The sequence below is a fragment of the Homo sapiens genome, chromosome 7 (genome assembly GCF_000001405.40).
Source record: "Homo sapiens chromosome 7, GRCh38.p14 Primary Assembly".
In the NCBI taxonomy this organism is placed as follows: domain Eukaryota; kingdom Metazoa; phylum Chordata; class Mammalia; order Primates; family Hominidae; genus Homo; species Homo sapiens.
The window spans coordinates 124,903,239-124,916,993 of NC_000007.14; the positions used below are offsets into that span (position 1 = coordinate 124,903,239).

General features: G+C 34.4%; 1 protein-coding gene across 5 annotated transcripts in view; it reads right to left on the reverse strand.

The window, feature by feature from the left end:
* POT1 (protection of telomeres 1) overlaps positions 1-13,755 on the reverse strand; it is a 107,440-nt gene that overhangs the window by 80,853 nt on the left and 12,832 nt on the right. For all 5 annotated transcript variants that reach the window (NR_003103.2, NR_003104.2, NR_003102.2 and 2 more), the window contains exon 3: positions 12,336-12,408. The gene's annotated coding sequence lies outside the window, so the exon portion shown is untranslated. The remainder of the gene's footprint in view (positions 1-12,335; positions 12,409-13,755) is intronic.

Sequence of the window (13,755 nt, forward strand, 5' to 3'; positions counted from 1 at the left end):
ATCGCACTTACTCCAAAACTGACCATAGTTGGAAGTAAAGCACTCCTCAGCAAATATAAAAGAACAGAAATTATAACAAACTGTCTTTCAGACCACAGTGTAATCAAATTAGAACTCAGGATTAAGAAACTTGCTCAAAACTGCACAACTACATGGAAACTGAACAACCTGCTCCTGAATGGACTACTGGGTACATAACAAAATGAAGGCAGAAATAAAGATGTTCTTTGAAACCAATGAGAACAAAGACACAACATACCAGCATCTCTGGGACACATTTAAAGCAGTGTGTAGAGGGAAATTTATAGCACTAAATACCCACAAGAGAAAGCAAGAAAGATCTAAAATGGACACCCTAACATCACAATTAAAAGAACTGGAGAAGCAAGAGCAAACAAATTCAAAAGCTAGCAGAAGGCAAGAAAAAACTAAGATCAGAGCAGAACTGAAGGAGATAGAGACACAAAAAACCCTTCAAAAAATCAATGAATCCAGGAGCTAGTTTTTTGAAAAGATCAACAAAATTGATAGACTGCTAGCAAGACTAATAAAGAAGAAAAGAATCAAACAAATGCAATAAAAAATGATAAAGGGGATATCACCACTGATTCCACAGAAATACAAACTGCCATCAGAGAATACTATGAACACTTCTACGCAAATAAACTAGAAACTCTAGAAGAAATGGATAAATTACTAGACACACACCCTCCCAAGACTAAACCAGGAAGAAGTTGAATCCCTGAATAGACCAATAACAGGTACTGAAATTAAGGCAATAATTAATAGCCTAACAACCAAAAAAAGTCCAGGACCAGACAGATCCACAGCTGAATTCTACCAGAGGTACAAAGAGGAGCTGGTACCATTCCTTCTGAAACTATTCCAATCAACAGAAACAGAGGGAATCCTCCCTAACTTATTTTATGAGGTCAGCATTATCCTTGTAACAAAGCCTGGCAGAGACATAACAAAAAAAGAGAATTTTAGACCAATATCCCTGATGAACATCAGTGTGAAAATCCTCAATAAAATACTGGCAAACCAAATCCAGCAGCAGAATCAAGTTGGCTTCATCCCTGGGATCCAAGGCTGGTTCAACATACACAAATCAATAAACGTAATCCATCATATAAACAGAAACAAAGACAAAAACCACATGATTATCTCAATAGACGCAGAAAAGGCCTTCAACAAAATTCGACAGCCCTTCATGCTAAAAACTCTCAATAAACTAGGTATTGATGGGATGTATCTCAAAATAATAAGAGCTATTTATGACAAACCCACAGCCAATATCATACTGAATGGGCAAAAACTGGAAGCATTCCCTTTGAAAACTGGCACAAGACAGGGATGCCCTCTCTCACCACTCCCAGTCAACATAGTGTTGGAAGTTCTGGCCAGGGCAATCAGGCAGGAGAAAGAAATAAAGGGTATTCAAGTAGAAAAACAGGAAGTCAAATTGTCCCTGTTTGCAGATGACATGATTATATGTTTAGAAAACCCCATCGGTCTCAGCTCAAAATCTCCTTAAGCTAATAAGCAACTTCAGCAAAGTCTCCGGATACAAAATCAATGTGCAAAAATCACAAGCATTCCTATATACCAATAACAGACAAACAGCCAAATCATGAGTGAACTCCCATTCACAATTGCTTCAAAGAGAATAAAATACTTAGGAATCCAACTTACAAGGGATGTGAAGGACCTCTTCAAGGAGAACTACAAATCACTGCTCAATGAAATAAAAGAGGACACAAACAAATAGAAGAACATTCCACGCTCATGGATAGAAAAGAATCAGTATCATGAAAATGGCCATACTGCCCAAGGTAATTTATAGATTCAATGCCATCCCCATCAAGCTACCAATGACTTTCTTCACAGAATTGGAAGTTCATATGGAACCAAAAAAGAGCCCTCATTCCCAAGACAATCTTAAGCAAAAAGAACAAAGCTGGACGCATCACACTACCTGACTCCAAACTATACTACAGGGCTACAGTAACCAAAACAGCATGGTACTGGTACCAAAACAGAGATATAGACCAATGGAACAGAACAGAGCCCTCAGAAATAATACCACACATCTACAACCATCTGATCTTTGACAAACCTGACAATAACAAGAAATGGAGAAAGGATTCCCTATTCAATAAATGGTGCTGGGAAAACTGGCTAGCCATGTGTAGAAAGCAGAAACTGGATCCCTTCCTTACACCTTATACAAAAATTAATTAAAGATGGATTAAAGACTTAAACGTTAGACCTAAAACCATAAAAAAAAAACCCTAGAAGAAAACCTAGGCAATATGATTCAGAACACAGGCATGGGCAAGAACTTCATGACTAAAACACCAAAAGCAATGGCAACAAAAGCCAAAATTGACAAACGGGATCTAATTAAACTAAAGAGCTTCTGCACAGCAAAAGAAACTACCATCAGAGTCAACAGGCCACCTACAGAATGGGAGAATATTTTTGCAATCTACTCATCTGACAAAGGGCTAATATCCAGAATCTACACGGAACTTAAACAAATTTACAAGAAAAAAATCAAACAACCCCATCAAAAAGTGGGCGAAGGATATGAACTGACATTTGTCAAAAGAAGACATTTATGCAGCCAACAGACACATGAAGAAATGCTCATTATCACTGGCCATCAGAGAAATGCAAATCAAAACCACAATGAGATACCATCTCACACCAGTTAGAATGGCAATCATTAAAAAGCCAGGAAACAACAGGTGCTGGAGAGGATGTGGAGAAATAGGAACACTTTTACACTGTTGGTGGGACTGTAAACTAGTTCAACCATTGGGGAAGACACTGTCGCGATTCCTCAAAGATCTAGAACTAGAAAACACCATTTGACCCAGCCATCCCATTACTGGGTATATAGCCAAAGGATTATAAATCATGCTACTATAAAGACACATGCACACATATGTTTAGTGCGCCACTATTCACCATAGCAAAGACTTGGAAGTAACCCAAATGTCCAACAATGATAGACTGGATTAAGAAAATGTGGCACATATACACCATGGAATACTATGCAACCGTAAAAAATGATAAGTTCATGTCCTTTCTAAGGACATGGATGAAGCTGGAAACCATCATTCTGAGGAAACTATTGCAAGGACAGAAAACCAATCACCACATGTTCTCACCCATAGGTGGGAACTGAACAATGAGAACACTTGGACACAGGGTGGGGAACATCACACACCGGGGCTTGTCGTAGGGTGGGGGGAGGGGAGAGGGATAGCATTAGGAGAAATACCTAATGTAAATGACAAGTTAATGGGTGCAGCACACCAACGTGGCACATGTATACATATGTAACAAAACTGCACGGTGTGCACATGTACCCTAGAACTTAAAAGTATAATAAAAAATAAAAAATAAAATAAAATAATGTCTTATTCATGTGTATATTTCATATAAATGGCTGCCAGAGGCTTCTGTTCATAGTGTTCAACAAATATCTGGTAAATTAATGAATTAACACTGGCAAAAACTGAAGTACAGAACTAAACAAAGAGAAAAAATAAATGGCTCTTAGGATCCAGTTTCCATGAATTTATGAATCATAATGGCTTTTAAAACATTCAAGTACACAGAGGATAAGAAAAATATATAACAGATAATAGTAGTTTGTATAAACACTCATTAGATCGAATTGAAAATGAGATTTTATATGGGGTGTTCTAAGCTTCTGAGAAGAGCATACTGAAGCCATTCAAACAAGAATTGGAATTACCTAGATCTGTGCCAAGAGTATATTCTGACATACCACAGATGTTTAACTCAATTGGGTGAAAAAAGTTAGGAGACCAGCCTGGAGAAAAAAATACTATGCTACAAAAAGTGAGAAGGCTTTATCAATGCATATACGAGTTATAAAACTAAAAACACATTTGGAATCACTGAAATCTTTAAACTAATTTAAGATACTTCAATATTAGCAAATGGGTCATTTCCCTTTTGTGTCTGTACTACCTGTCATCCCTGTCACATTGCCTTACAAAGAGTGAGCTCCCTTGTCATTAAACAATTCCCTGTTTAGTATAGCCAAATAGAATATTTACTGCAAACCAGTCTCAGAGAAGAAAAATGAAGTCAGTAAAGGTCTTCTTAACAACAAGAAGTGTTCTTCAAAAAATCAACAATTAACTTAACTGCTTCACCCCCCACAAAATTAAGGCCACATACTGTATGATTCTACCTAAAAGACTGGAGGTTGCCAGAAGTTAGGGAAAGGGAAGGATGAATAGGCAGAGCACAGACGATTTTTAGGGCAGTGGAAAATACTCTATAAGGTACTATAATGATAGATATATGTCAAAATACATTTTTCAAAACTCATAGAATGTACAACACTGAGAGTAAACCCTAATGTAAACCATGGACTCTGAGTGATAATGATGTCATTGCAGGTTCACCAACTGTAATACCACTCTGGTGAGGGAACACTGATAGCAGAAGAGGCTATGCATAACTGCAGGTAGAGAATGTGAGGGAAATCTCTCTAACTTTCTCTCAATTTTGCTGTGAACCTAAAACTTCTTTTAAAAAGTATTTTTTAAAAAACCAAAGCTTTAAACATGTATTTTAAAAAGTATATCAGATTATTTATTTGCATATTAACAAATATGGTTTTTATATGTTAGTACCTCCTAATAAAGGAAACAGTCAGTGGTGAAATAAGCAAATCAACAGGCAAATAATAGCATAAACTACAAGACTCATGTATTAGTTTGCTAATTTTTAACAAATAATACCTCAGAAATTCTCAAGTCATTACACTTAGTGGGCAAGAAAAGGGCATTGAAAATATAAAATAACTGATAATCCAAAATGAAAAACACTTATTTGACTTTAACAAGCATTAAATAATTTTCCTATATTGACCTTACAAATCTTGTTAGGTTACCATATTTTAAAACATTTTTCAAGAGTAAGGGTACAGGCAGAAACCAAGGACCTGACGGCGTTGATAGTGCAGTGATTGACAGAAAATGTTTCTCTATAAAAATGTATTTCATGAGCATTTGCATGTACTGGGTTGAGTAATACCAAGGTCATAATTGGAAGTAATGTATGTGAATAATATTAGCATTAAAAACCAAAATTCTTAAATTGCCTACAAATCACTGTATGATTTGACCCCTACCCACCTCATCAGCCACATCAGCCACATATTGTGTGACTCACTCTGGTATTCTGTCTTCTCAAAATTCATTAAATATTCCAAGATGCTTGCTCAAGGCCTCTGTATATGCTATTCTCTCTTTGCAATCTATAACCCAAGTATCCCTGTGATCATTTTTCCATTACTCTTCTCATTCTACTATTCAATATTCATAGTTACATATCATATCTGGATAAAATAATTATGTAATAATTGTTTAATTCTTCTCCAGGGGACACTATGCTCTATGAGGGCAAGGTCCATGACTGTCTTATTCACTGCTATATCTCCAACATCTATCATAGAATACAAAAACATTTAACAAATGTTTGGACAACTAAATAAATAATCAAAGATATTAACATTCATACATATATAGATAGTATACCTTCACGAATCTTAAAATAAAATAAACTGTACAACTGCTACAAAACTTACTTCATAGACTGTTAGCATTTTAGAACTTAAAAGGACCTTAGAGACCATGTAATCAAACATCTTCATTTTTCAGATAAGGGAGAATAAATAAATGATCTAAGGTCACATACAGTTAATTAGCTATGAACCAAGACAAGAAGCCAAATCTCCTGACTTTCAAGACAGGCACCACTCTAATTCCTCTTTCAGAACTAACTCTAACAGGGATACAGGGAGAAAAAAGGTATTAATAAGTGTCTTTATTTTTGACAGTTTTGGGGTAATTTTTTTTAACTTTCAGAATACTTTGGAAAAGTCTTTCCTCATATTTTATGTCCACATATTAAATGTTAAAACTGACTTTAAAATATGAAAACTAAAACAAAAAATGTCTCATACAGAGGAAGGCTTAATTACAGCTTGTGTATTTCTGCAAAATATATCACATTAGTCTACCAAAGCAAGGATTAAAATCTTGTTAAAATTCATTTTAGTGTTTTAGGATTATTGTATTCAAATACAACGCTACCCTTAAGCAAACAAGCAAATGGCAAAGAAGGGTTTAAGAATCAAATTGGAGAAAACTCATTCCTTTAAGCAAAAAGTTTTACCTTTGGGTTGGAACAATCTTCAACCTTGATACTTTAATAAATTGGTATATTAGACCCTCAAATAATCAGCATTTCTGGGTTTTAAATCCAGAAATAATTTAAAGTAAATGTGACCTCAGTCTTCACATCATTATATTTTAAAAGCAAGAAACCTTGACTTACCATTATTAACAACCTCTGTTATCTGACAGGTACTAATTAACTAGTGTAGTTCTATTCTATTTTAATGAATACCTATTTAAAATGTATTTCAATAGCAGAAAACACTTCACATGTCAGGTAAAACACTAATACCTAATGTAATGTACATGTTTTGTAGATGTACTATACATGTTTTGTTAATTCATAGCATAACCCTTTTATACTGTTTCTCAAATAAACATTTAATATAAAAATCTTAAAGGATAAAGGTGAAATATATTTAAAATATAAACAAATTGATCTCTGATATTCGATAGCATGTATTTATTTTTAAAACACATCTCTAAAATATCCAAGATATATTAGGTAAAAATAAAGCAACCTTGCAAAAAACAGATAGTTACTTGGTGAAAAATATGCACATACAGGCTTATCCATGCCCACAGACACACACAAAAGCATGTGCACATATATAGACACACATATAAAAAACCTGGAAGGGTACTAAAAAAAGCATAGCAGTGTTTTTTACCTGAAGAATGGGACTAGGAAATGGCAAGGGATTCAGTGGGAATGAGGGAACTTTTGCTTTTCAGTTTATAGCCTGCCATACTGTCTGAATGTTTTTAAATCATGACTACACAAAAACAACAAAATCTTCTCAGACAAATATTTGCAAGATTGTCAAGTCCATAATACTACCATGAGGTAAGAAAAAAAAGGTGTGGAGATAGAGCGGTTTCTCTACTTATTCTAAGTCCTTTAACAAATGTTAGCCTTAGAGGGTTATCTTCATAATAAAAGTGCTTATCACCATCATCACAGAGGGCTAACAGTTAATACTTAAATGAAAAACATATACGAAGACACTTTGCAATCTGTAAGATTTCATACAAATATAATATTATTAGTTAAATTTTAATTCTGAAAAAAACTGGTTAAATGTTAAAAATTGGCTATAATAAACGTTTGAAAAAGAAACAGTGGTTTTTACTATCTAATGGCTCTTTAAATATAGACCTTATTTGCTATTGAACTATGTAAAATAAACAAAGGATAGGAAAAGAAACAGAAAAATAAGTTATTTAATCTCCTTACCTCACAAGAAATTAGAATTTGCATCTCTTTACATCATACCTCAAAACATCTAAAATGTTAACTAGAAAAACCCTTTAAGTTATGAATTCCCAACAAACATAAACACACATAGGTGTGTAATACAGACAGGTATACAATCAGACACACCCTAAGAGTCATGAGAAAAAGCATAACACATTGATACACTCAAATACATTTTTAAATGTATTCATACAAATATAATGTACACACACCTCTCTCAGAGCAACTCTACCTACATTTACCCCAACACTATTTTCTGTATTATGTTAAAACAAATGTTTCAAAAATTCTTTAGTGAATGAGATTTTGTATTCATATTTGCACCTGACATTTATTTAACATTCATAAATGCAAAATTTTTATAAGCTACCAACACTGAATTCTTAATAATTTAGAAATGTCATCTCAAATATTAATAATTTTAACTAAGCTGAAATAAAGTCTTGCCTTCAAGAGGAAGAATAATACAAATAACAGTAATGACAGCAGACCTTTACTGGGGCCACCAACTAACAAAAGCACCTTATCAAAATAGATATTTACAAAGGGATTCATTTGGAGCAATTAATTCCTATCTGACATCGCCTCAAGCAGGCATGATTGTGTGTATGTGCACTCACGCTTTTTTCTGTTTTATTTCCTAGTGTCCTTCCCTGATGACTGTCAAGAGACTTCTTTGTAGTATATTTGTCTCTAGAATTTTTGTGCCACATCGACTAGATTAGAACTATATTTCAATCAATATTTTAAAAATTTTATCAGCAATCAATCTCAGAGAAATGGTCCGATGATTTGTTCTATGAGCTTTAGGACATGAACTGTATGGCAAATGCATTACTTCCCTAAATTCTAAAGCAAGGTTTTAAGATATACCGCTGATTAGTAACAGCATTGCAGATGGAAAACTAACACGACACTGATTTTCCTTTTCTTTGTTCAAAGTAGAAGTGAGAAAAAAATTAACTGATTTAACAGTTCTTCACAGCAACTTGAGCAAAAAAGATAAAATCTGAGTTTGACAATGTATCACAAAATTCTTGTAACAAGGAAATAAAAGCAGATGTTCTAACAGCTTGCTTGAAATGGATCTTTATTCCAGACCCCACAGGTTTTACAAAAATGGTACCATTTCTCAAGGGCATTGAATTATTTAAACCACCACAATTTCTGCAACTACTGTATGTCATAGCTATTCAGAATTCTCAGCTAATCCAAAACCCTTATTTTATATTTGATTAAATTTGAATCTGGCAACATTCAATGTTACTCAAGGGCCAATAATTAACTGAAGAAAAGCAGAGATTAGAAGCTAAACTACTGGGCTCAGGGTTCAGATGTCTTCCCTCTACTCTCTTCTTCCTCACTGAGGCTGTATCTAATTACAATAATAGTAATGACAATAATAATAGTTGCTATGTACTGAGTTCCCACTATGTGCTAGTAGTGGCTATATTCTGTCTTGAGTTCTTTCAACAATCCAGAAAAGCAGATATCATTACCTCCATCTTTAAAATTGGGGGAAAAAAAAAAAACTCAGTGGAATTAAGGGTTTTAACTCCAAGTCACACCTGCTGGGTTTTAGATACCCTGAGCCTCTCCTTGACATAAATGAAACATACACTCACACTGCAGAACCTTTGTACTTGCTAAGACTGTTCTAGAATACTCTTACTTTAAATATCTGAAGGATCACTTCACATCACTTCTTTGAAGTCTCTTATCAAATGTTACTTGTCAGTCTTTTCTTCACCACCAGATAAATATATACCTTCCCTCCCCTTCTCATGTTTACAGTTCTGCCTTACATTCTCCATAGCACTGTTTCCAACTAGAAAAGGTATATATTTACTTTTTTTGGTTTATTGTCTTTCTTCCCTAGAACGTATGCTGCATAAGGACAACTTTGTTTGGCTCATCGGTGTCTAGGAATAGGGCCTGACTCCTCATAGGTATTCAATATATTGTTTAATAAATGTGTGAATGGCTTAATGAATACATGCAAATTCTCCTATTTCCTTCAGGAAGCACAGATGTATTCAGAGTAATATTTCAAATACAAAAGACTAGCAAGGTATACTGCAGAGGCTCCAGTTCCAGAAAGCCAACAGAGGGCCACAGCCTCAAAAGATAAGATACTCCCCAGAATGCCAGGACCACTGTATTAGTCCATTTTCAAGCTGCTAAGACATACCCGACACTGGGCAATTTACGAAAGAAAGAGGTATATTGGCCTTACAGTTCCACATAGCTGGGGAGGCCTCATAATCAAGGCGGAAGGCAAGGAAGAGCAAGTCACATCTCATGTGGATGGCAGTAGGCAAAGAGAGAGCTTGTGCAGAAAAACTCTCGTTTTTAAAATCATCTGATCCCGTGAAACTCCTTCACTATCATGAGAACAGCCAAGGAAAGACCCGCCTCCATAATTCAATCACCTCCCACCAGGTTCCTCCCATGACACATGGGAATTGTGGGAGTTACAATTCAAGATGAGATGTGGGTGGGGACACAGCCAAACCATATCAACAACCATCAGTATTGTATTTCTTCTTTGAGGATACACTAAATCAAATCACCTATTTTTTTAATTGAATTGCTTATCTTTTTGTTGTTGAATTTAAGAAGTCCTTTATATAATCCTGGATAGCAAATCCTCATTAGATATATGATTTGCAAATATTTTCTCCCACTCTATACACTGTCTTTTCATGTTCATGATAATGTCCTTTGATGCATAAAATTTTTACATTTTTATGAAGCTTAATTTATCAATTTTTCCTTCATTGCTCATCCCTTTTGTAACATATCTAACAATCCATTGCCAAATCCAAGCTCATGAAGATTTGCCTCTGTATCTCTGAAGGATTTTATGGATTTAGCTCTTATATATAGATGCTTAATCCATTTTAGTTAAATTTTGTATATAATGTAAGGTAAGAATCTAATTTCATTCTTTTGTATGTGGAAATCCAGTTGTCTCATTATTATTTGTTGAAAAGACAAATGGTCATTCTTAAATGGAGATAGTTTTATTCCTTCCCTTCTAATTGGAACGTCTTTTATTTCTTCTTCTTATTTAACTGTTTTTGCAATTGACTGAACATGTGATCCTTGTCAAAAAATTACTTAGCCATAGAAGTATGGGTTTTCTGTAATCCCAGCACTTTGGGAGGCCGAGGTGGGTGGATCACGAGGTCAGGAGATCAAGACCATCCTGGCTAACATGGTGAAACCCCGTCTCTACTAAAAATACAAAAAATTAGCAAGACATGGTGGTACGCGTCTGTAGTCCCAGCTACTCGGGAGGCTGAGGCAGGAGAACTGCTTGAACCCAGGAGGCAGAGGTTGCAGTGAGCCAAGATCCTGCCACTGCACTCCAGCCTGGGTGACAGAACGAGACTCTGTCTCAGAAAAAAAAAAAAAAAAAAGAGTATGGGTTTATTTCTGGACTCAATTGTACTCCATTGATCTCTGTCTATCCTTATGCCAGTACCACTGTTTTGATTACTGTAGCTCTGTGATAAGTTTTGAAACTGGGAAGCCTGAGTACTCAGACTTTGTTGTTCTTTTTTAAGGTTGTTTTCGCAATTTGAAGCCCCTTGAAATTCCATACAAATTTGGGGATTGGTCTTTACATTTCTGCAGCAAAGTTTTATAATTCTGATGGGGACTGTCTTGAATCTGCAGCTCATTTTAGGTAGTATTGACAGCTTAACATATCAAGTCTTTCTACACAAGTTTCTGCTATGTACAAGGCACTAACCACAGAAAGTACCAAAAAAAGAAAAAAGAATAAAAGCCCTTCTTCTGACATATAGTTAGCCCTGTATCTGCAAGTTTTGCATCTGCAAATTCAACCAATTCAGACTGAAAAATATTCAGAAAAAATGTTTTTTAAAAAATTATACTACAACAATAAATAATAATACAAATTTAAAAATACATAGTCTAGCTATTTAGATAGCATGGACATTGCATTAGGCATTATAAATAATCTAGAGATGACTTAATGTCAATGGTAGGGAGAATACACATGGGTTATATGCAAATATTTTGCCATTTTATATAAGACTTGAGCATCCACAGATTTTTATATCCATAGGGGGCTCCTGGAACTAATCTCATGCATATACAGAGAAACAATTGCAACTCAATTTTCTACAAGTATCTGTTACTTAATAAATGTATTTATATTTAATTTATTCAGAAAATTAATTTATTTCTCATAACTCCCCTATGCTCTACCACCTTAACTTGCTTTTTCTTCAGACCACATTTCTACCTCATATTACTTTATGTAATTATTCACTGCATTTCCTCATTCCCCTAAAATGTAAATTCAATAAGACAAGAACTAAGTTTTGTTCACAGCTTATAACCCCAGTACCTAGAACAGTGTCTGATATATACTTAGTAGTCAGTAGTTGTAGAATTTTGTAGTTTGTTTCCCATTTGCTGCTCCAGACTGTTCTAACCAACCACAGGCTTCAGATGAGATCTACTTTTGTCCCTAAGTGTTACAAAGTAGCCCTTCCTAGCTTACCATGATTACTTGAGGGCTATATGGAGAAAGAATTCTCCCTGTGTAAGAACAACACCTAGGTAACAAATACAGCTATGTAACAAGTACATCTATGTAACATGTTAAAAGCCAAGTTTTAAGACAGTTAAGCTGCTAAGATGTTTAAGTCACATAAGTGAAACTAGAAGCAGTTAGCTACTGCAATGGTCTAGATATGAGAGTAAAGGGCTATGAAGTAGAATACACACACATATATATATGAAGTCACATATTTATATATTACAGGGAAAAAGATAAGTAGAAATAGTTTGCTTATACTATATACCTTGTAGTCCAATCTGCAAAACAGCTGTTTTATTTCCACGATAAGTTAAAGAAGAGATAAGTGAAAGTTTTCCCTGAAATGAGAAAAAAAAATAGTTACAAAGAGGAGTCAAAGGAGTTTATAATAAAACCAAGATAGAAATAAAAATTAGAATTTTCTATAGCAACAGTTTTCTTTCAAGAAGTCAGAGTACTGTGTTCAAGTAACTATTTTAAGACAAGAAACTGTTGAATTTGTTTTTCTAGAGAAAAATCAGATCTACAAATACTTCAAGGTTTATAATATAATTTCCTAAGTAATCCTATTAGTTAAGTACTATCAGTTCCTTATTTTGCAGATAACTAGATCAACTTTCCCTAGCTTTGTTTTAATCTGTAATATTGTTCTCTACAAAACAATAAAATGATGTTTGCTCCTAGAAAGAAATGAAAACTTAATAAAGATTTAGAAATGCAAAATGGAAATCTCATATAGTGTGGACAAATCAACAGATTAAGACACAAGTACAGTTTAGTCTTTGTTCAGTTTCTGTAACTAACCAGCTCTGTCAGTTTAAAAAAAGTTACTTAGATTATCAGATAAAATAAAGTTTTTAATCTGGATGGTTTTTGTAAATAAAATTTAAAAATAGATCCTATTAGCCTCCCAGGCTAATATTCCAGACTTTGATATAGCTAATAAAAAATAGATCAATTTTACTTATAAAATAGGACTCAATTTTACTTATACATCAATTTTACTTATAGGAACATAAATAAAAATATGGTTATCAACAAAGCATGATTCATAGTCAAAAGTAAAAGTAGTTACACTTAAAAGATAGAAAGCTGAAAAAAGTGTCAACAATAAAAAGTTAATCTGTAAATCTCAGAACCTTTCTTGACCCATCAGAGAGTTGAGGTCACAGGGCAACCAACTAAGCAGAAATCTGAGGAAAGCAAGTAATTCTCATTACTTCTAATGAGAATAAAACAATTGTTTTATTTCTATGATAAGTTAAAGAAAAGTGAAAGATTTCCCTGAAATGAGAAAAAAATAGTTACAAAGAAGAGCCAAAGTTTATAATCACACCAAGATACAAATAAAATTTTTATAGCAACTTGCTTACCTAAGGTAAATGACAAATGTTCCCAGACATCTGTAAGAAAAATTCATCTAACACTTTAATGAATTGCTAGAGGCCAAGTATGGTGCAATGAAAACACATGGAGCCCCCAAGCTGCAAACACAGGGGAATTCATTCATTTACATGCGCTTCTCTACAGACCTGACAAGGTTCAGGACAGAAGTAGGGCAATGGCAGCAGCAGTTACTGCACGAAAGGCTGGAAACTCTGCTTGGCTCTTTCTCCTCTATCTTTCTTTCAGAACAAAGGACTTAAAATGCTGGGAGAAGGGCAAAAAAAAACATGTCAATCCAA